This window comes from Homo sapiens, chromosome 20 (assembly GCF_000001405.40).
Source record: "Homo sapiens chromosome 20, GRCh38.p14 Primary Assembly".
In the NCBI taxonomy this organism is placed as follows: domain Eukaryota; kingdom Metazoa; phylum Chordata; class Mammalia; order Primates; family Hominidae; genus Homo; species Homo sapiens.
Genome location: NC_000020.11, coordinates 38,708,826 through 38,730,515, shown reverse-complemented (window position 1 = coordinate 38,730,515; position 21,690 = coordinate 38,708,826). Strand labels below are relative to the sequence as shown.

General features: G+C 53.1%; 1 protein-coding gene across 1 annotated transcript, besides 5 other annotated features; it reads right to left on the bottom strand.

Moving 5' to 3' along the window:
* Positions 1-1,143: 1,143 nt before the first annotated feature.
* SLC32A1 (solute carrier family 32 member 1) lies at positions 1,144-6,030 on the bottom strand. Its single transcript, NM_080552.3, has 2 exons — positions 5,402-6,030; positions 1,144-3,064 (listed from the first exon to the last, which is right to left on the bottom strand). The coding sequence occupies exons 1-2, from the start codon at positions 5,789-5,791 to the stop codon at positions 1,877-1,879; spliced, it is 1,578 nt and encodes a 525-aa protein (NP_542119.1). The 5' UTR covers positions 5,792-6,030; the 3' UTR covers positions 1,144-1,876.
* Positions 1,443-2,102: an enhancer, noted in NCBI's record as "H3K4me1 hESC enhancer chr20:37357057-37357716 (GRCh37/hg19 assembly coordinates)". NCBI's record gives its function as "activates a minimal SCP1, AML or CMV promoter by ChIP-STARR-seq in naive H9 embryonic stem cells {active_cell/tissue: H9 hESC(naive)}" and the evidence as "EXISTENCE:reporter gene assay evidence [ECO:0000049][PMID:30033119]".
* Positions 2,763-3,423: an enhancer, noted in NCBI's record as "H3K4me1 hESC enhancer chr20:37355736-37356396 (GRCh37/hg19 assembly coordinates)". NCBI's record gives its function as "activates a minimal SCP1, AML or CMV promoter by ChIP-STARR-seq in primed H9 embryonic stem cells {active_cell/tissue: H9 hESC(primed)}" and the evidence as "EXISTENCE:reporter gene assay evidence [ECO:0000049][PMID:30033119]".
* Positions 3,036-3,330: a silencer, noted in NCBI's record as "tiled region #3832; HepG2 Repressive DNase matched - State 20:ReprD". NCBI's record gives its function as "represses a minimal TATA promoter and a strong SV40 promoter by Sharpr-MPRA in HepG2 cells {active_cell/tissue: HepG2}" and the evidence as "EXISTENCE:reporter gene assay evidence [ECO:0000049][PMID:27701403]".
* Positions 3,638-4,175: an enhancer, noted in NCBI's record as "H3K4me1 hESC enhancer chr20:37354984-37355521 (GRCh37/hg19 assembly coordinates)". NCBI's record gives its function as "activates a minimal SCP1, AML or CMV promoter by ChIP-STARR-seq in naive H9 embryonic stem cells {active_cell/tissue: H9 hESC(naive)}" and the evidence as "EXISTENCE:reporter gene assay evidence [ECO:0000049][PMID:30033119]".
* Positions 15,999-16,500: an enhancer, noted in NCBI's record as "NANOG-H3K4me1 hESC enhancer chr20:37342659-37343160 (GRCh37/hg19 assembly coordinates)". NCBI's record gives its function as "activates a minimal SCP1, AML or CMV promoter by ChIP-STARR-seq in naive H9 embryonic stem cells {active_cell/tissue: H9 hESC(naive)}" and the evidence as "EXISTENCE:reporter gene assay evidence [ECO:0000049][PMID:30033119]".

Sequence of the window (21,690 nt, the reverse complement as noted above, 5' to 3'; positions counted from 1 at the left end):
GGCACACACGCACACACGCACACACACTTACCAAGGTTCTCACAACACACGATGCAGCCTGCCCCACCCCACACGCATATCTTCACCTAGCCTCTCACATGCCCCTTGCAAGCGGGCGGGGAGCAACACACACCCTACTTAGGCATTCTCCCTGGCTTCTTTCCCGTGCACCATTCGCACCTGGAGAAGTCGTTCCTAACGAAGCCTCTGCCTCCGTGGTGACAGCGGACCCTGGAACCCACCCAGCGGACTTGCACTCCCAGCTCCCACCCAGAAAGTCTGACTCTGACCTTTCCCAACAGTCCCTGGACTGGCCCTCCTGGAGTCAGTGCAGGTGCTGCGCCTGGAGTGGGATCAGCACAAAAAAGACTAGATCTTTCGGGTAATTCAGGCAAACACTTTATCAGACAGGCTGCGCAAGATAGGGGGAGACTGGGACCCTACAACTTGAGGCTGTTGATTCTAGAGTCAGATCTCTTTGCTATGGCTGTGCAAACCCCACCTTGGATTGCACGGCAGGGTTCTCCTGGGTGGCAGATGCCTCCTGCCGGGCCAGATTGGCTCGTGGCTCTGGGGACCTGGTGAAAGGCACAGCCCACTTCTGACTTCCTTTGTAGCCCTCTTCACAATCTGAAGTCACGTTGTGGATTCCTGCCTGTCCTTGTTTATTGCCTGTCTCCACCTCACTAGACTGTAAGCTCCCGGAAGGCAAGGCTGAGTTTCTTTCCCCAGGTTTCCAACACTGCCCCAGCCCTGATTGGCTGTTTATAAATATTTGTTGAACAAATTTATAAAGTTCTGGTACATAAAAGCTCCCCCTGTCCCTCTCTGTTTTGAGGTTGGAAGTTGAGAGCTTCCACCAAATTCTCAGATGGACCCGCCCCCAGGGGAGAGATTCGAACAAACCTCGACCTGGCAGCTGAGGGGGCCGCTACAGCACTCTCCGTCTTCAGCTTCCTCCTCACACCTGAGGAGCCTCCTCGCCGCCAACTAATCTTTGTACTCCCTAGAGCCCTCCCCGGACCCTTTAACCACAGCTGCTCACCATCTCCGGTTTCAGCCGGCGGGAGCCAGTTCCCACGCCTCCCAGCGCCAGGGGATCCCGGCTGGTACGAACACACAAACCCGACACCGGGCCGCGCAAGCCTTTGTCTCTTCTTTATTTGCGGATATAATTATGTACCGCACTCTAAATTAGAGATAGATTTTTTTCTGATATACATTTCATCTTATTCACCACGAGCACACCACACGCACAGTAGAACAGTTCCACACCTGATAAATTGCACAAGATGAGAGTTTAGATTCCTGAAAACCGGCAGGCAAGCTGGCCCCGCCGCGGCTTCTCGCCTTCCGGCTTCGTTGAAGGAAATTGCCCACCCAAAATGGATTTCCCAGTCAGCCTTTCCCGCTGCAGGGTTGAAACGTCTCCGGAATGGGAAGCGCTCTTGCTGGAAATGGCTGGACGCTGTAGATTCCGAGCTCTGGATGGATGTGAAATATTCCCCCAAGGTCAAGTTGCCACGCCTGCGAGCTGCGCCCCCTCTCCCTCCCTTCCCAACCCCCTCGATGACTGGAACCAAAGTGTCGGGGCCCCACTTGGAAGGACAGAGAACCCTGCCCGCAAATGCACCCCGCCTCCCCCCAAAACCAGGGTGTTGTGGAAAAGAAAGGACAACAGAAACGCAGACGCGATGGATCGTGAATCCCTGTCCCCTCCCATCCCCCCCATCCCCGAATAATCAGAAACTAGGAACCAGAGATGTTTAAAGCTTGGCCTCCCAAGCGCGGCGGCAGGGCGCACTGGGCTGGTGGGGGCGGGGTGAGGGGAGAAGGGAGAGAGCGCAGAAGCGCGGCGGGGGCTCGCCCTTGCGCCCTAGTCCTCCGCGTTGGTTCGGTAGGCTTCGATGAGGCCCTCGAGGGAGTGCACGAAGCCGGACACGCTGCAGATGCCGCCGATGACGAAGATGGCGACGTCGAAGAAGACTTGGTGCCACAGCAGCTTGCGCCAGAGCAGGCGCAGGTGAAAGAGGCTGGGCAGCAAGAAACAGAGGCCGGCGCCCGTGAGGCTGCCGGTGAGGCCCATGAGCAGCGCGAAGTGCGGCACATAAATGGCCATGAGCAGCGTGAAGACGACGAGCGCGCAGCGCAGCGTCAGCCCCCAGGACTTCAGGCGCCCGTCGCCGCTGTAGCAGGCCGGGAAAAAGGCGCGGCTGCCTTCCTGGAAGAGCGACTTCTCCAGCACCTCGACAGCGGCAAAGAATGGCAGAGGATAGGACAACAGCGCCTTGGCCACCAGAAAGATGTTGACCACGGCGCGGATGGAGCCGGGCAGGTTATCCGTGATGACCTCCTTGGTCTCGTCGGCCCAGGTGAGGTAGGCGACGAGCGCGAAGAGGCCCTTGAGCACGCAGGCTGCGATGTGCGTCCAGTTCATCATGCAGTGGAACTCGCTGGGCTGCTGCATATTGCCCTCCAGCGAAGGCAGGAAGATCTGAGACGTGTAGCTGAACACGATGATGCCAATGGAGATGGGGAACTTCTTGACGTCGATGTAGAACTTGACCTTCTCCCAGGCCCAGTCGCGCGCCCGCGATAGACAGTAGGCTATGACCAGGATATTGATGACGAAGTGGGCCAGAGTGCACAGCAGACTGAACTTGGACACGGCCTTGAGGTTCTTAAGGAAGGCGCAAGGCAGCAGCACGGCCGTGGCGATAATGGACCAGGACTTCTGCGACACGGGCAGCCCCGGGAAGCTGTTGTACATGAGGTTGCCACTCACCACCACGTACAGGATGCACGTCATCACCAGCTCGATGATCTGCGCTACGTTCACCACTCGGCCGCCCAGCGTTGGGAAGCGCGGGGCGCAGCAGGCGTTGGCTATGGCCACGTACGAGTCCCGCACGCGCACCACCTCGCCGTCTTCATTCTCCTCGTACAGGCACGCGATGAGGATCTTGCCGGTGTAGCAGCACACAACGGCGGCGAAGATGATGAGAAACAACCCCAGGTAGCCGCCGTGCAGGATGGCGTAGGGTAGGCCCAGCACGAACATGCCCTGTGGGGCGGAGAGGCAACCAGACGCGGACGCTCAGCGAACTTGGCAACGGATGAGGGGCCCGGGGGGCGTGGCTTAACGCTGTGGCCCGAAGGGGGCGCTAAGGACACTGAGAATTGGGTCTGAGCCGCCGGGGAGGAGAGGTTAAGAGCAGGCTGCGGGGTGGATGTAGGGGAACTAATAGTGAGCCCGGGTGTCGAGCCAGAGATGGAGAGGGAGGGATGTATGGACGGATCTGAGAAGGAAAGGTGCGCTAATGGCTGGTGATAGCGAGAGGGCTAGGGTGGGAGAGGGCTGAGAATAGGGAGAAGCCACAGGAGGGAAGGGAGATACTTCGGGATGGTTTCTGGGGACAGGAACAGAATGAGGAGTTGGGGGAGGAGATGAGAAGGGACAGAAGGGAGCGTAGTCGGAAAGGGGCTCTAAGAAAGGTAGTGAGCTGGGCCTGGGCCAGTGGAAAGAGTGGGCACGGGATTTGTGGTGGGGCTGGAATGGGGCACGGGAGCTAAAGAGGAAAACTCGGGCGTCTCAGGCTCAGACCAGAGGAGGAAACGTTAAAGGCTGCAGTTGTGAGGCGAAAAGGAAATAGGGTAGAGAGGGAGAGGGGCTGAAGGTGGGGCAAAGCCCCTGGGAGGCAAGAACAGAGACAATGTGAAGACGCTTGGGGAGCAGCGCGCGGGGAGGAGGAAGCAGGGCTGGAAATTGAGAGTCTTAGGACAAGGCTGGAGTTAGAGTGAGGCGAGGGCGAGACCTAAGGAAGGGGACTAAGTGGAGGCTGGGGAGGCAAGCAGGAGGAGGAGCTTGGCGGGAAGGCGCCAGGGAGGCCAGAAAGCCGAACCGAGCAAGAGTCTAGAACCAGAAGCTTCAGGGTCAGGCGGACAGGGCTGTAGGGTTTAGAATCCACACGGGGACTAAGAGCTAACGAAATCCAGGGTCCCGGAGGCCTACGAGCCTCCAGCCTCCTGCCCTGGCCTCCCTTGGGGCCTATCAAACGGAGCCTTGAAAGACGCCCCGGGAAGTCGCGGGGCACAGCGAAGGCGGGAGCAGCCCCGGGTCCGTGATCCAGCAAGGCCGTCTCGCCGGGCCCCGGAGCGGAAAGCGCCTTGGGTCGGGCCATCTGGTGTTCGGGGCCCGGTGGAGTCCTGCTTACCCCGATACATGGAACAACCCCTGGGAGGCCTCTGCTCCCAGAAAACCTGCCTTCCGTGGCCCCAGTGATAGTGCGCTCCAGGGACGCCGCGGGGCCAAGCTGTAAGGGACCGGGGTTGCCTAGAGCTGAAGTCTCCTTCGGCCCAGAAAGCTGCGGCCTGCCAGCCCCTGCTAGCTCGGAGGTCGTTGCCAAGACTCCAAACCTGCTCCCTATGTAGGAGTCCTGCGCCGCCTGGTGGGGAGTGGGGGGTTAGGAATAAGGGGAGAGGGCCTAGAGAGCAGGGGCCATTCTTAGCCTCTGGAGAGGGCTTCGCCAGGGTCACACGGGGAGGAGCTGGCCGCCTCTTTGCGGTGCAGCCGGGATTTCGGGCGAGAGGGGCGAGTCTGTGCACAGGTAATGCTGGATTATTGCGGACTAAATGTGTTTGTGTGGGAGCATGTGTGTGCTTTCGTGTGTGTATACCTGTATGTCTCCAACAGGGCCGCACCCAAGGGAGCAGGCTGGTTCCTGTCTGCATGCATCTGTGCATGTGTGTGTGCATATGTTCAAACGAATATTCGTGTGTTTGGTATGTGCAGGTATATGCTTTTGTTTGTGGAGCTGTAGGGGTGTACGCAGGTGCATTTGGGGATAGTACTGTGGTCTATATATAGATACATGTCGTGTGCGCCTGTGCCTGCGCCTTTGTTCGTGGGAAGGGGGGCTGTGGGCATGTGGTGTGCCTGCCTATATACGTGTGCGTGTCTATGCGTGTGTGCGGGGGGAGGAGACTCCGACCTCAGCGATTTCCCCTTCTTCTTTCCTCCCAAAAATGCAGCTGTGAATCCGTTCCAGAGTCCAAGACCAAACCGTGCCCTCCAATCCTGATTTTCTTTCTTTCTCATCGCTTCCTGCTCCCTCCCCCCATTTCCTTCACTTTTGCAGTGTCTCCGGACAGGTGTCTCAGACCGAACTTCAGCCTAGCGGTCTTGCAGCTGGTGCCGTTGGGAGGGAGCGTGGGTTAGGGCGGAAAACACCGCCTGGGGGCGTAGGTCCCCGCGCAGGGCTGGGAGGGATGGAGAAAGGGAGATTCCTGGGTACAGGAGGGGGTCTCCAGGCCGAGATCACCGGGCGACTGTCGGGGGCAGAGCCCGGCACGCTGAGCTGGGAGGGGGGAGGACAGGCAGAACTGGGAATCCCGCGCTTACCTGGATGGCGTTGGTCACGTTCCAGCCTGCCTCCCACGCCGTGATTTTGGGCTTGTCGTGGCCCCCGAATTCGCCACCACCTCCCACCTGGTCCTTGGAGCCGGAGGGCGGCAGAGGAGCTCCGCTGCCTCGCTGATAATGGATGTCTCCCTCGACGGGCGCTTCAGCGCCCTCGTCCCCGCAGGGCTCTCCCTCGGCTTTCAGGATGTCCATCTGCAGGCCCTGGCGGTGCTCAAAGTCGAGGTCGTCGCAATGCGCGAAGCCCACCGCCTCCTCATCCGTGGCCGCCTGAAAACCCATCCTGGCGAACATGCCGCTCATCTTGGCCTGGGACTTGTTGGACACGGACGTGGCCACGTTGGACAGCTTGCTGCGGAGCAAGGTGGCCATGGCGGCGGTGGGGACAGCGGAAAGGACAGAAGGACCCGAGGATGCGGGGAACGCGATGCAAGAAGGCGAGGGCTGGGGGGCGCAAAGTCGCTATCTCCGCTTGCTCTCCGCGCGGCGCCCCGGGGCTCTCTGGCTCATGACCCTCGCAGCTGGCGTTCGAGGCTCTCTCAGGGCTGGACCGGGCAAGCTGGCAGCAGGTCTGGCGGAGCGGCGGCGGCGGCGGTGGTGGCTAGTGCACTGCGGAGCTGCCGCGGGGCGCGAGCTGGGCTGCGGAGGGCGGCGGCGGCGGCGGCGGCGGCAGCGGCGTCAGAGCAGCTACGCGAAGCTGGCGCGGCGCCCCCACCCGTGCGCAGCCCAATGCGCTCCCGCCCCTCGGAATCAGGCGGTGCGGGGGTGGGGGATTGGAGAGAGGAAATACCCGGAGGCAGGGGACGTGAGGAAGGGGCTAGGAGAAGAGAAAGGGGGCGCCGAGGGATTCAGACGTGAGCTGGGGGCAGAAGAAGGGCGCCCTTGGGAAGGAGGCGGGAGGGAGCGCGTGAAAGAGGGAGCGCCGAGGGCAGGGGAGGTGGGGGGGCGAAGTGCTGCATTTCTAGGGGAGGTGCTAAGCTCGCATCCTGGCCCTTCCCACCTCGCCGCCGCAGGGTGGGAGGGGGCCGGCGTGGGCTGATGCTCGCAGTCTCCCACCCCCGGACCACCCCCTCCAGGGTCCGGGAGCTGTGCAGCCCCAGATCCTCTGGCTAAGGACTGGTCTGGGCGCCCCGAAAGCCCGCAGGACTGAGTTGTCAGTCTCTCGCGGAGCGGGTCGTCTATAAGTCAGTTTCCCTGGCACCCATCCTTCGCGCGTAAACCCGGCCGCGAGTCCCCCTTGAAGGTAGAAGTGGCTGGCATGGATCGCTCCCAAGGAAGCTCAGCCTCAGGCTCAGTCACCCGGGTTCTCTCCGCCCGTCCAGGGACGCCGCGAGGGAAGCGATTGTGCGGATCGCTCGCCACCAGCCGCTCTCCAAATGCGTGCAGAATGGAGGCGAAAGGTTGGCTTTTCTCTTTCTTTTCGTTTGGGGGTCTGGAAGAAGGCAGGACTCTATGAGGACACCTCTCGTCAGCCTCCTAGCGGGTCTGCGAATGCCCACGCCGAGAGGGGCGCAGACGGGGCCAGGCGCGGAGGAAAGAAGGGCTCGCGGCGCTGCAAGGCGGAGGAAGCAGAGGCTCGCGGTGCGCTGGGGCCCTGCTCCGACGGCCGCCTCCAGGCTGTGAAAGCTTGGGCTGTTTGTGTTGATTGGGGTACGGGTGTGTGAGCGCGAGTAAGGGAGAGACCCAGAGACAAAGACCGATGCTGTATCAGACTCTGCTTGAGGTTGGATCAGTGTGGCCTCTGAGAATGAGGTTTGGTAACCGCGTGTGTTCTGTGTCTGTGTGGTTTTGCGCGCATTCCAGTGTGTGTGCCAGAGCTAGTGTGTTGGATTACGTATGTGTTCCCGAATGGGGTTGCCTGCGTTCGTGCCTGTGTTAGTCCCTTTGTAGTAGTCTCCGTGAGGGTCCGCTGCTCTGAATGGGTCCCTGCGTAAGTCCCCAGCTGATGTCCTGGCCGGGCTCCTCCTGAGCAGTAAACCGCAGGGCTCCACCTGGCAGTCCCAGCCTGAATGGAGAAGTAGCGGCTGTGACTGGAAGTGGGGGCGGGGGCGGACGGAAAAACCGAAGGAAACAAAAAAGGAAGCAGCTCCCCATCTCCCCTCTCTCGAGGCCCTTTCTCCCTGGGAACCCCAGCCACTCTTTCTCTGCAGTATTTCTAGATTAGCTCACGTCAGCGCACAAGTAGGGCGGCCCGAGGGCTTTGGCCAGAGAGTTGGAGCTGCCAGGACAAGACAGGCTTCCCTCTCTACACCCTCCCGCCTCCTGCCACCTCCTCCCATCCCAAGCCCCTCCCAGTCTCCCGGAGGAGGCTTCTCTCCAGATAGGGAACCTCCACCACATTGGACAGAGATGCTCCTAACCTCTCCCCAGGTACCCCCTTAATTTCCCCAGAAGCTCTGGAAAGCCCCTAGCTCCTGCCTGGTGGAAACCAAGACAGAAATCCTCTTCTTAGCCTCCAGCTACTAAGACCAAAAAACAAAACAAAACAAAGCAAAACAAAAAACAAAACAAAAAAAGACCCCTCTATAGAACCGTCCTCCAAATACAGACACTCCAAGTCATGACAGGACCCAGAACAAAGACAGGAAAGAGATTCTTCCTCCAAACACAGAGATCCTCTCCTCCAAGGAGGCTTCTAAATAGAAGCGATCCCCCATCCGAAATTTGCCCTATACGGAGAGCCTCGGCCCACCCCAATTCTCAGATACAGGAAAGACAGAGAGAGAGAATTTTCCCTACAGATTCCTATAGACAAAGATCTCCACATCCTAATTGCCATCCTCTCCCCTTCTGTTTCTGGTGAAATTCTTTGGCCCACAGGAGATGATCTGGGCAGAGGCTGGGTCTTTGTAGGATTCCCCAGTGCCTCCTCCACAGCATTACACCCAGACCTTAGGATGGCCACTGATGCCTTCTCTGACAAGTGAGTCTAAAGTGGGCTGTGACGTTTTTTCATCAGTGAGAGATGGGGTCATTTATTCCTTCATTCAGTGAACCTTTTCACAGCCCTTCCTGTGCACGTGATTCTGTTCTGGCTATTCCAGGAATTGTCAAGATGACACAAGCATAGTCTCTTCCTATACTCCCCACTCCAATTCTTGGGTCTAGGAGGGAACTTAGAAAGCCCTGAGTCCAATTTTCCTTTCTGCAATGTTTAAACCTCCCCCAAACATCCCAACAGAACCTCACATTTATCCTAGTTTTACAGACAAGAAAACTCAGGCCTGAGCAAGGAAGTGTCCTGCCCAAGGTCACACAGAATCCAGGTTAAAGCCAGGCTAGAACCCCCAGGAATCCTAAGGCTCTTTCCAGCATGCCTTGCCCTGCACTACCTCGTCTTGTCCTTACATCATTTCTCCCTGGTTGTCGTTTGGTATTTGGCCACCTCATTGTCCAAAGAGATGAAATTCAAAATCAGATTCTAGTCCCGCTGGCTATAATTAGATGCCAGCAGTTGGGAAAGGAATTCCCATATTTCCCTCCTTTCCTGCTGTTTGTAATAAATGCCTCTTCCCAGGCTGAAGGCAGGTGTGGCAAACTCTCAAACAACCCACACTTTATTGAATAATTCTACCCCATCACATACTAATTCTATGACATTGACTACTTCCTTGACTTCTCCTAGCTTCCATTTCCTCATCTCTAAAATGTGAAAATAAGAATAACGGCCTCATAGAATTATTGAGAAAATTCAATGAGATCTCATATATGAAATGCTTAACAGGTGCTGCATGCCCAATACGTGATAGCAATTATTTTGTGATTGTTGTAGTGACTATACTCAACAGCCAGTTCTCGTTGTGGGGCTGGGGGTGGAAATGGGAGTGCACAAGAAAAAGCCTGCGATTGGATCTGGGGGTTGAGTGAGTTGGAATGTACGCTCTTCTGTCTTTGAAGCTCTCTGTCCCTGCTCCTCACAGTCGCAAGCTGACCTGGAGAGAAGGGGAGGGAGGTCAGGAGCAGGGAGAGGGAAGAGCCCAGGAGACCAACAGGATGACTTCCCTTGCTGGTAGTGAGCTGGGCTCTGCCCTGGCGAAGCCATCAACCTCCAAATTCTCCCAAATAGCTCCTCTGGAAGGGTTCCCTAGGAGAGGATTTTGCAGTAGACTGGTCCCCTGAGTTGAAGCACAACACACACATACATTCACACAGAGCATGACAAGCCGATGGATAGATGTACAAAAACATGAGGACAACATAGAGATTCTAGTAGATTGAACAGAGCATTCTAATACATTGACAGAGCAACACACAGGTCATGAACAGGCCAGCACACAGACAGACACATGCAAGATTTGTACTAAGACTGCCTGCCACACAAAGAAATCAGGACAGACACTGGTGGGTCCCTCTGCATGGGCAGAGGCACCTGGATAACAGGCTCAGACACACAGCAGTGCAAGAACAGGTAAACACACACACACACTGACAAGCCCCCAGACACAAGAAATCACACACACACACACACACACACACACACACACACCGAGACGAGTAGTCAGGACTACTCTTGTGTGATCACTGAAGGGGAAAAGAGGAGAGAACAAAGGGCAGAAAGGGGCAGGGGACGTAAAAAGGACCAAGCAGGGAGATGGAGATGGAAGAGGGCTTGCTGAATGCAGCCACCAGCCAGTGGGACACAAAAGAGGCAGAGATGCCACAGCCTTTCTCTTTTGCTGATGCCAGAACCCAGATCTTGTGACTAAGAAACTAGGGACTGGGAGGGTATGTGGGGAGAGAGCAGGAGCTGTCGCTACCCAACCTGGGGGTGTCAGAGGGTCTCTCCTGCCAGGGCCACACAGGTTCCTACCTTCTCTCAGGACTTCCACCAAGCCTTGTGAAGCAAGGACTTCCAGATGAGGAGTTTGGATTAGGAAGGACCTGGATCGGATTCCCTGAAGCCAGGGCCCAGGTGAAATGCACGCACCCCTTCCTGACACATGAGCTCAATCTCTCTGCCTTTGATGCCTTCAGTACCCAGGGGGTTAAATGCCTGGCTAACAGAGATGGGAGTCACTTTGGGGGAATAAATAGGGTTAAATAGAACTGGGCTTATCTCCCAGAGCAGACAGCACCATGGGGGAAGGGGAGGCATGGAGCCCTTGAATTAATGGCCTGGAAAGCCAACATCATGAGCATCATTTCGGGGCTGAATGATCACAGATAGCCCCCTCCCCCTCCCCTGTAGCTCAGAGCCCTCCTTTTCCAGAGCAAAGTCAGCCTTGCAAGTCTTTTCCTGCTGAGGGGACAGGCACTGGCTTCATAAACCACTCCCACCCCCAAGTATCCTGGGGCTGGGACATTGGTGAGGTTTTCCTATAGCTGGAGGGAGCCATGTTCACCTTTCCCCAAATCAAAACCCAATTTCCTGATGCTGTGTCCCTGGGCACAAGGGAGGAGAGGCGCAGCAAGGCTGAGGAGCCAGGTGGGAGCCTATGCATGGAACAAAGACCCTGATTCTTCTCCCTTCAATGGGACAAATCAGGTGGGGCCATTGACCATGTAGGTGCTGCCCCTGTGAGCTCAGGGTAAGACATATTAAAATACATTCATGACTGTGTATGTAGTAGCAGTTTTCCTTGCACACATAATGAGCATCCCATCTCCAGAGGTGTCCAGGCAGAGGCTGGATGTCCTATCAGAGACAAGGTCTAGAGAAGTCCTGCCTCAGGGTATGGGAGGCTGCATTTCATGACTTCTGGGGTTCAAGGTTCATGCTTTCTGGGCTGACAGCTCTGAGAAGGGGTCAGAGAGCGGGAGACATGAGGACCCAGGTCTTGCCCTCAGCAGCCTTTAAAACCAGAAGCTACCTAGAACTGAAGGAGGGGCCCTGGACCTGACTTGGTGGGTTAGACCAATGGTTCCTGCCCTTTCCTGAGAACACAGCTTCAGTTATGCTGGGAAGCAGGGGCATGTCAGCCGTATTCCCCACTGTGTTCCCAGCACACATTAGATGCTCATTCATGGAGATGAATTAAGTCAATGTTACAAAGCCATTTCCCCCCTCTGAAGAAACACACAACAGCCAAAATCCAGGTCTGAATTATGAATACTGTAGCTCTTCTGAATGGATTTGTCTTTTGTGCTCACATCATCTTTTATGTAATTGAAAGTCAGTCCTACATAGGTGTGTGAGATGTGATTTTTGTTAATCTAAGCCTTGGGATGCACATCCAGATTCAGGGATTCCTTGCAAGAACACTCAGAAACTACCAGCAGATTCTAGGTCTCTAGGAATCTGTGGGTCACTGGTTATAACTGGGAGAGACAGCTGTGTTGGGGGCTCTGATTCCAGCAAACCCTGGGACAGGGATCCTGGGCTCCAGCAGTGCAAACGGGCTGTGTGTCTGACCTCCTACACTCTCTAGGTGCAGAGCTCGCCTTTACTGAGTGCTCTCTGTGTGCCAGGCACTGCTGAAAGTACACTCTCAGGATTGTTTCCTTAAATTCTCACAATCCTGAGACTAGCCCACTGTCATCTTAGGAGGCTGCAGGCAGGGCCTGCAGGAATGGACTTGGAGAAGTGGATAATTGGATGGGCATAAGCAGGGAAGAGGACGGTTGGGAGGAGTGATGATCACTGGGGCCAGGGGAGCTGCAGGTGGTCCTTGCTTTAGTTAGAAGCCTCAAGGGTCAGCCTTTGCTGGTCAAAACCTGCCTCCACCGAGATCTAGAATAATCTATCTCACTGACTGCTATGGACTGAATTATGACCCCCAAATCCATATGTTGAAGCCCTCCCCCTCAATGTGACTGTATTTGGAGATGCCTCTATAGAAGTGATTAAAGTTAAATGAGGTAAAAATGGTGGGATGCCAATCTGATAGGATCAGTGTCCTTATAAGAAGAGACACTAGAGTGTCCTCTCTCTTGATTTCTCTCTCTCTTCACTCTCTCTCTCTCTGTGTCTCTCTTTCACTCTCATTCTCTCTCTCTCTCTGCCACATGAGGACACAAGGAGAAGGCAGCTGTCTACAAGCTAGGAAGCAAGCCCTCCCCAGAAACCAATCCTGCTGGACCATGATCTGGGACTTCCAGCCTCCAGAACTGTTAGAAGATGTGTTTCTGTTGCTGAAGCCACTCAGGCTTTGTCACTTTATCATGGCAGCCTGAGCTAAGACTGAGTGGTTCTGCCAGCCCTGACCTAGCTCAGCGACCAAAGATTTTTCTAGGTCACAGCCCCCGTGGACATCTGGTGAGGCTGCAGATCCTTCTTCTAGAAACACACACACAATATTGCACAAGGTTTCATATCCCTAAGCCCACCCATGGTGAGTCCATGGCCTCCAGCCTAAAAGCCCAATCTAGACATTTTTGTTCTCTTCAAATTCTGTTGAGAGCTGGAATCGGGAAAGATATCAACACTAACATTTACCAAATGCTTATTCTCTGCTAGGTTCTAAGCTAAGTGCTTCCTTTCCCTGTGTCACAACATCATGGACAAGCCTCTCACTATCTCCATGAGCATGGGTTGGTTTTATGTTTAGTTTATAGGTGAGGACCCTGGAATGTAAAGAGGTTAAGTGACTTGCCCATGGTCTCACAGCTAGGTAGTGGCGGATTCAGGAGTCGAACCCAGGATCAGAGCTGTCCTTATAACCTCAGCACTCTAGGTGAGTCTGCAGGGCAGGGCTTGGGTCTCTGGGCTCCAGAGAAGCACTGCAATCCAGATCTGACTCCCCGTGGCCAAACACCTCTTTGTGTCAGTTCCCAAGAATGCTCCCTGCACTGACTGGTATATACATCTATTCTGAGGCACCCCTGTCTCCCTCTTGACTACTGAGGCAACTCCTGGGACAGGGAGGTGGGAGGCATAGGGCCAGGTACATAGTAGGTGCTCTCGGAAGACCTTGTGGATTTCATTAAAGTCTGGGTGAGATCTGGCCTCAGTGGTCTGGGCCCTGTATCCTGGCTTTCCAGCCCCAAGAACACATGGCTCTTCCCCATAGGATGTCTTAGACCTGCACAGCTGATAAAGGCTTGGTCTGGTGCAGTGGGTCACACCTATAATTCCAGCACTTTGGGAGGCCAAGGCAGGCAGATCACCTGAGGTTAGGAGTTTGAGACCAGCCTGGCCAACGTGGCGAAAGCCCGTCTCTACTAAAAATACAAAAATTGGTGGTGTGTGCCTATAGTCCCAGCTACTCAGGAGGCTGAGGCATAAGAATCACTTGAACCCGGGAGGTGGACTTTGCAGTGAGCCGAGATTGCATCACTGCACTCCAGCCTGGGCAACAGAGCAAGACTACATCTCAAAAAAGAGGCTCCCGGGACACATTTATTGTTTCTCAACCTAGGCTGTGAGAGCTCTCTCTCAGAATTGGTTAATTTTATATTATATTATTTTATATTTATTTATTTATTTATTTTGAGACGGAGTCACTCTGTTGCCCAGGCTGGAGTGCAGTGGTGCGATCTCGGCTCACTGTAACCTCCACTTCCTGGCTTCAAGTGATTCTCCTGCCTCAGCCTCCTGAGTAGCTGGGATTGCAGGCACCCACTGCCACACTCAGCTAATTTTTGTATTTTTAGTAGAGAGGAGTTTCACCATATTGGCCAGGCTGGTCTCAAACTCCTGACCTGCAGTGATCCACCCGCCTCAGCCTCCCAAAGTGCTGGGATTACAGGCGTGAGCCACCGCGCCTGGCCAATTTTATATTATATTATTTTATATCTAAAAAACCTACCAGCGGATTCTAGGTCTCCTGGATGACCAAATACTGCTTTAATTGTTATGGGCCTTATGACAAAAGAACAGAGGGGGGCTAAATGCTGAACCATATTCACTGTGCAAGTGCGATTTCATTTCACCTACACACTATCCATCACGTTAAATTATTCGTGTTCTTTTGAAATGTCTGATATTGAGGCTTTGTTTTTGTTGCAATGGTATATTGTCTCCGCTTTTCCAATTGTGTAGAGCTAGCTTTCTGTCTGTACATATTTTCATAAAATTGTAATAAAGATAATTTGTCAATTGTTGACAGGGGGCTGTGACTTTTTTCCCCTTTAAACGTGGTTCCTGTATTACTCAAGGGTGAGAAGCATGCATTTAATTCATTCTGACCAAGTAGAAAATAAGCTTCACACATTGGTGCCCCACACACAGCCCCTGCCACCTGGATGGGTCCCCGTCCTCAGTTTGGCTCCCCCACTGCTGCCTTCGAGGGGAAATATGACAGCGTAATGAACAGTTGTACGACGTGCTATAAAAAGGCAATTAAGGGAACTATTGGACTGGGACAAGCCAGCGTGACCTGGTTAATAGCTCTGAGAGGAGCTGGGCCGTGGGGAGGGTGAGATGCAGGAGGGGGAGGGGCTTGCTGTTTCTTAGTGAGGGGCTGAGGTTGTTTTATCCACTGCCTGCCAAGTACCGAGGGGTCCCCAGGCTAGACTCATGACCACTGGGTCTAGGACCAGCCTGAGGCGGACGTTGCTTCAGGGTTCAGCTCTGGAATCAACTCTGCCATTGCTGGTTGAGTGACCCTTGGCAGGTGACTCACGGCCTCTCTGCTTCAGTTTACTCATCTATTAAATGGGGATAAAAATGATCACCCTAGAACTGTGCCCCAGCGGGGGGAAGAAGGGATGGGTCATTCATTGTTAAACTGGTCAGAGCTGGGAGCTGCACACAGCATTCAAAGGAAGGCATAGAGGAGGGTTTTACTCGCGTTAAGCAGGATCTCTCAATACAGTGCAATCTGTGGCTGTACCTAATCAGCTCCCTGGGCTTCCTGCCCTCTGCAGCGTGAGTTCTTTGATCTGATCCCCTGCAGTCACCATGTGGTCACCACCTTGAAGCCACCCCTCCTCTTTGGACCCCTTCTCTCATCCCCTCAGCTCTTCAGTTCCTGTCTCCTTCAAATGCCACTGTTTGTGAGTCACCTTTGGCATATGCCAACCTTTGGGATGGAGACAGAGAGAAACCCTTCCTGCCCCATTGGCATGCCTGCATCACTCCACTTCACAGTGCTGGTGGGAGGACTGACGAGACATCACATGGAATGTAGGTAGTGAAGCACCTGGCACTTAGTAAGTGCTCAATAACCTCTGGCTATTGTTATTGTTGTCATGATCGGAAAAGGTCTGGGTTTATATTGAACACCCAGCACAGTGCCTGACACATAGCAGGTGCTCAATACATATTTGGCGAGTGAATGAATGAATGAAAGGTCCTTTGGCTCCATTGTCTGCACTCTGTGATCGAATACACTAATCCCTCTCTGAGCCTGTTATTCATTCATCAAATAGGGATATGATCTGGCCCCAAGGGCCAGAGAAGTGGCTCACCAGCTGTAAACTCCTGCCCACTGTGGGGACTGGTTCTGTTCACCCCCACATTCATCTGTGCCTGCCTTTTGGATCTCTGAGAGCTCAGGAGGTGCCCAGCCCCCCGCCCCCCACATGTTTATTCTAAAATAGGAAACCAGCAGTGCACGTTGGTCTGAAGGGCCCCTCCCCACAGCCTCAGATGGAAGTGGCTCTGAGAGCCGGCCTGACAAAGGAGCAATCAGGGGTGATTATGGCTCATTTAGGGACAGCTTGGTGATTGGCTGAGAATCCTCAGCTTGCTCCTCGCTCCAGATGAAGAGGGCCTGAGTCCTTGGGCTCCTTCTCTCCAGTGCCTGGACAAGAGGGGGGCTGCAACAGGCAGGTGAGACACAGGAGGCAGCCTGTCACCCAGGGCGGATGGGCCACAGGCTCATGCACTAGCATTTCAGTCTGCATCTGTGGGCAGGATGCTTACCTTGTAGAGTTCTAGAGCCAGCCCTGGCCTTTTCCGTCATCCAGCTGCTCCCAAGATGAAGCACAAACTCCCCCCACCCTCAGCCTGCAAGGCCTCATGTGTCCCAGCCCCTGCCTGCTTCAGTAGCCTCCTATCCAGCAACTCAACTAGATCTCCTTAGTTCCAGCTGCAGGGGTTGATCTGCTTCCCACCCTGACTCTCATTTACTCTCATTTCTGTGGTTCAGAACACACTTTATTTATTTATTTATTTATTTATTTATTTATTTATTTATTTATTTTGAGACGGAGTCTTGCTCTGTCACCCAGGCTGGAGTGCAGTGGCATGATCTCAGCTCACTGCTTCCTGGTTCACGCCATTCTCCTGTCTCAGCCTCCCAAGTAGCTGGGACTACAGGCGCCCGCCACCACACCCGGCTAATTTTTTTGTATTTTTAGTAGAGACGGGGTTTCACCATGTTAGCCAGGATGGTCTCGATATCCTGACCTCGTGATCTGCCCGCCTCGGCCTCCCAAAGTGCTGGGATTACAGGCACGAGCCACCACGCCCGGCCCCAGAACACACTTTATAGTAGACAGAGCTGAACTCAAATCTAAGCTCCACCGCTTTGTAGCTGTGTGACCAGGAAACACTTCACCTAGCAGAGCCTCAGTTACCTAATCTGCTCAGTGGGCATAATCAGTCCTCCCTCTCAAGGTGGCGGAGAGTATTACATTCAAGGTGATAATACATCTAAAACACCTCACATGCAATCTGTCCTTCATGGATATTAGCTAGTATCATCATTCATTCCTAGGTCACTGCTTAGATGTCATTCCCTCCAGAAAGCCCTCTTCGATTCCCCAAGTTTTGGGTATGCCCCTCCTAAGTCTTCCTGCCACCCTCTGTGCTTTGCCCTGGCATGTTGCACATCCATGCGGGTATGGCTGACGTCTTTCTCATCCTTCTATCCTGGTGCTCAGCAAGAGGCTTCTATAAAGGAGGCTGTCCACAGGCCTGTGGACAAACCACTGTGCTGACAGCAAGGAACAGATAGAGATGCCTCTAAGGGCCTTGACCAGGGGAGGCGGGGCTGAGTCCTCAAACTGTCCAGCTCTTTGCTTCAGCAAGACCTGTCTCCTCATTCCAGCCCCTGCCAAGATGTCTTCCACCCTCCTCTCAAGCTCCTCCCGAGGAGGCTTCCTGGACTCCCCACAGCTCACAGTGGTGTATACAGAAAATAGAATTTAACCTTCTCTCCTTCCATCGACTGCCTCTAAAGGTGTGAATTTGAGCTGAGTCTGTGCTCTTCTGTTCTTTTGAGACAGGGTCTCGCTCTGTCACCTAGGCTGGAGTGCAGTGGCACAATCACAATCACTGCAGCTTCAACCTCCCGGGCTCAAGCGATCCTCTCACCTCAACCTCTCAAATAGCTGAGACCACAGGCGTCCGCCCCACACCTGGCTAATTTTTAAAACATTTTTTGTGGAGGTGGGTGTCTCGCCATGTTGCCCAGGCTTGTGCTGTCTTAATAATAGTCATCATAGGCCAGGCACGGTGGCTCATGCCTGTAATCCCAGCACTTTGGGAGGCCGAGGCGGGTGGATCACCTGAGGTCAGGAGCTTGAGACCAGCCTGGCCAACATGGCGAAACCCTGTCTCTACTGAAAATACAAAATTAGTCAGGCATGGTGGCGGGCGCCTGTAGTCCTAGCTACGTGGGAGGCTGAGACAGGAGAATCGCTTGAACCCGGGAGGTGGAGGCTGCAGTGAGCTGAGATAGCACCACTGCACTCTAGCCTGGGCAACAGAGAGACACTGCCTCAAAAAAAAAAATAGTCATAATAGTTACCACTTATTGAGGGCTTACTTTTTCCATCTAATGTGCTAAGTGCCCCTCATGTATTCTCAACCTCAGCTTAGGTTCAACAGGGCATTACTGGAAGAATGCTGTGGTCTCAGGTAATTATGGGAGGGGCAGACCTCAGGAGCATGGCCTCAGGACAGCCAGGACCAGAGACCCCTCTCTTCTCATTTCTGTGCTCTCAGCATGTCATCTTTTCTTCTGCTGTGAACTTCTTCCATATTGAAGTAAACATGATGCTAACCGCTTCCAAGCTTCCCATCTCATAGTTATTACTGCTGGAGTGGAACTAGCTGTTTGTCATAAGCTTGGCTTGAAAAGTCCTGGGGAAGGACTGTGGCCAGCTCAAATCAAGCACCGCACCCCCACCCACCGACCAACTCCAATAAATATGGAATCATTGGCTGGGCGTGGTGGCTCACACCTGTAATCCCAGCACCTTGGGAGGCTAAGGTGGGTGGATCACCTGAGGTCAGGAGTTCGAGACCAGCCTGGCCAATATGGTGAAACCCCATCTCTACTAAAAACACAAAAAATTAGCTGGGTATGCTGGCACATGCCTGTAATCCCAGCTACTCAGGAGGCTGAGGCAGGAGAATTGCTTGAACCTAGGGGATGGAGGTTGCAGTGAGCTGAGATTGCGCCACTGTGCTCCAGCCTGGGCAATAGAGTGAGACTCCATCTCAAGAACAAAAACAAAAAACCATGCAATTGCTGGGTTGCCACAGTCTTATAGTCAGAGTCAATGTCAGTGTCAATGTCATATAAGACTGTGGCAACCCAATGATGGCCCTGTGGATGGGGATGAGAAGAGAGTTCTCAGAGTAAGCACAGGCACTGGACAGACAATGACAGAAGCCCACCAGATATTGCCAGATCATTTCACACACCTGGAGACCAAGAAACAGAGAGCAGGATCACCTTCCTCCAGGCCACACAGCAACAAGAGCCAGAGTCAAGACTCAAACCCATATCTGTCTGTCACCAAAGCCAAACTACGTATCAGAGGTGATTCTGAGGTTCCACAGCCAATGACAGGGATCCCAGAGAAGCCACATCTGATGCAGGGAGTTTGGGAGGAAAGGCCGACTGGGGAAGAAAGCCAACAAGAGCTTGGTGTCACATCGCCATTAATGGAACCCATCCTAGGGTCAGACTGCTTTGATTTGAATCCCAGCACTACCTCTGCTGGCTGTGAGACCCAGGAGAAGTTATTTTACCTCTCTGTGCCCTTTTCTCAGTCTATAAAATGGGTCAATAATAGTACATTCCTCATAGGGTTGTTGTGAGGATTAAATGAGATAATGTGGGTAAAGTCCTATGCCTTTTAGTAAACACAGTAAATGGCAATTTTGATAACATTGTTATTGCTGTTGGTATACTTATTATTATCAACATTGACCATATTCAGCCTAAAAGGATGGTGGTACTCACAGGTGGGTACGCAAGGCAGGAGCCCCTGAGAGAGGTCAGGCCAAAGAAAAGTGTCTGTTCCTAGCATGAGGAAACCTTGTTAAGAAAAGGGCATTTGATGGCACAGGAGGCCATGGCCTGGACCAGCCTGTCACCAGGCTCCAGGGCAGTGCTCAAAATTATTTGAGCTTTGTACAGCCTGCTGGAGACCTCCCTCTGCCCTTGATCCTTGCAGCTGCAGACCAGGGCTGGGGTTTTCTTCTTGGGGACTCACAGCCTGGGCTGCTTTGTCTATCAACACGAAGGTCATCAAAAGGTTAGGAGGCCTTTCAGGTGTAAAAGCCAAATGAATGTGCTCATCAAAGACTTCCTATAGAGGATGTCCCTCTACAGGACACAGGCCTCCTACTGTGGGATCTCTGAGTCTAGATCCCAAAGACAAGGAGATATTCTTGTGCCTGGACAGCACCCAAGCCCCTCAGAGTTGGGCCAGCCACATCCAGCTGCTGGCTCCTTCCTTTGGCTCCAGAATCAACTCTGACCCTAGGTGCAGTTCTGTAGACTTCCCCCTACCCCGGTCCTCCCAGCCCATTGTGCTGGGGCTCTCAGCGTCCACTGCTCCCTGAAAGCATCTGTGCTATTTCCGCATTTGTCTGTCTTTATTTATTTATTTTTGAGATGGAGTCTTGCTCTGTCACCCAGGCTGGAGTGCAGTGGCATTATGTGGGCTCACTGCAACCTCCACTTCCCAGGTTCAAGTGATTCTCCTGCCTCAGCCTCCCAAGTAGCTGGGATTATAGGCATGCACCACTACGCCCAGCTAATTTTTTTTTTTTTTTTTTTTTTTTTTTTTTGTAGTTTTTTACTAGAGACGGGGTTTTACCATGTTGGCCAGGCTGGTCTCGAACTCTTGACCTCAAGTGATCCGCCAGCCTTGGCCTCCCAAAGTGCTGGGATTACAGGCGTGAGCCACCGCACCCAGCCCACATTTGTCAATTACAAATGTAATCCTGATGTCAGAGTGATTACGCCTTCCCCAATGTCATGGCTTATAGAAGTCTCTCTACAAGATATTGGATATTGTGATGTTTCTCAGGAGGTGGGTCTTAGGGAGAGATGACAAGGAGAAAGCAGGGACAATATTGCTTTTTCTTTTCTTTCTTTCTTTTTTTTTTTGTTTGTTTGTTGTTGTTGTTTTTGTTGCCTCCTTTGCCTTTTGTATCCAGGCCTTTAGGCTTCTCTTCCCCTTCCACCCCAGGGTAGTCTCCAGCCCCTCTATGAGGTCTTTCCTAACGTCTCTAGTCCCAATAGCCCACACCAACTGTACCCCTCAGCCATCGTGGGAGCGTTCAGAGGCTACCGGCTATCAACAAGAGAGATGTGGAATTTAGAGAAACAACTTCGGAAAGCTCGAGGCCCCTGGGAATTCATCTAATGTTTTCTGGTCCAAGATCAATAGGTTGGAGAACTCCAAGCCCTTAATTATACTGACTCCTTGAGAAGATGGGCTGTAACTAGGTATTCACTGCACGCTCCCTTCCCTCCTCAGCCATTAAGCCAGGTAGATCTTACTCAACATTTTCTTGGAGCAGAAATTTTCTATTTTTTTGTTTTCCTTTTCTTGATTTATTTTTTAACTTCACATGATTTAGAAATTTACAAAATATATAAAGGGCATATAGGGTGAAGTCTCCCTGTAACTCCTCTTTCCCATCCCCCCATGTTCTGACTGTCCCTAACACAGTGACTGGTTTTTGTTGTTGTTGTTGTTATTGTTGAGACGGAGTTTCGCTCTTGTCACCCAGGCTGGAGTGCAGTGCATGATCTTGGCTCACTGCAACCTCTGTCTCCTGGGTTCAAGGATTCTCCTGCCTCAGCCTCCTGAGTAGCTGAGATTACAGCTGCATTCCACCATGCCTGGCTAATTTTTTGTATTTTTAGTAGAGATGGGGTTTCATCATGTTGGCCAGGCTGGTCTTGAACTCCTGACCTCAGGTGGTCCACCCATCTCAGCCTCCCAAAGTGCTGGGATTACAGGCCAGTGACTGGTTTCTTAAGTTGCCTCTTATCTGCCTATACCACAAGTACAACTATTAATATATAAGCAAATACACATGTATATTCTTATTGTTCTGTTTTTTAACACAAAGATAAAGGATTCCACACCCTGTTGTATACTTAGCTCTTTTTTTCACTTAGCAATATGTCTTTCTAGATCTTTCACAGCAGAATGTAGAGATTATTCAGCACTTGTAAGGAGCTGAGAAT

Coding starts and splice junctions, on each gene's coding strand:
- SLC32A1 (NM_080552.3), bottom strand. CDS start 5,791: ATGGCCACCTTGCTCCGCAGCAAGCTGTCCAACGTGGCCACGTCCGTG. Junction 3,065..5,401: donor ACGTGACCAACGCCATCCAG/GTAAGCGCGGGA, acceptor TCCGCCCCACAG/GGCATGTTCGTGCTGGGCCT.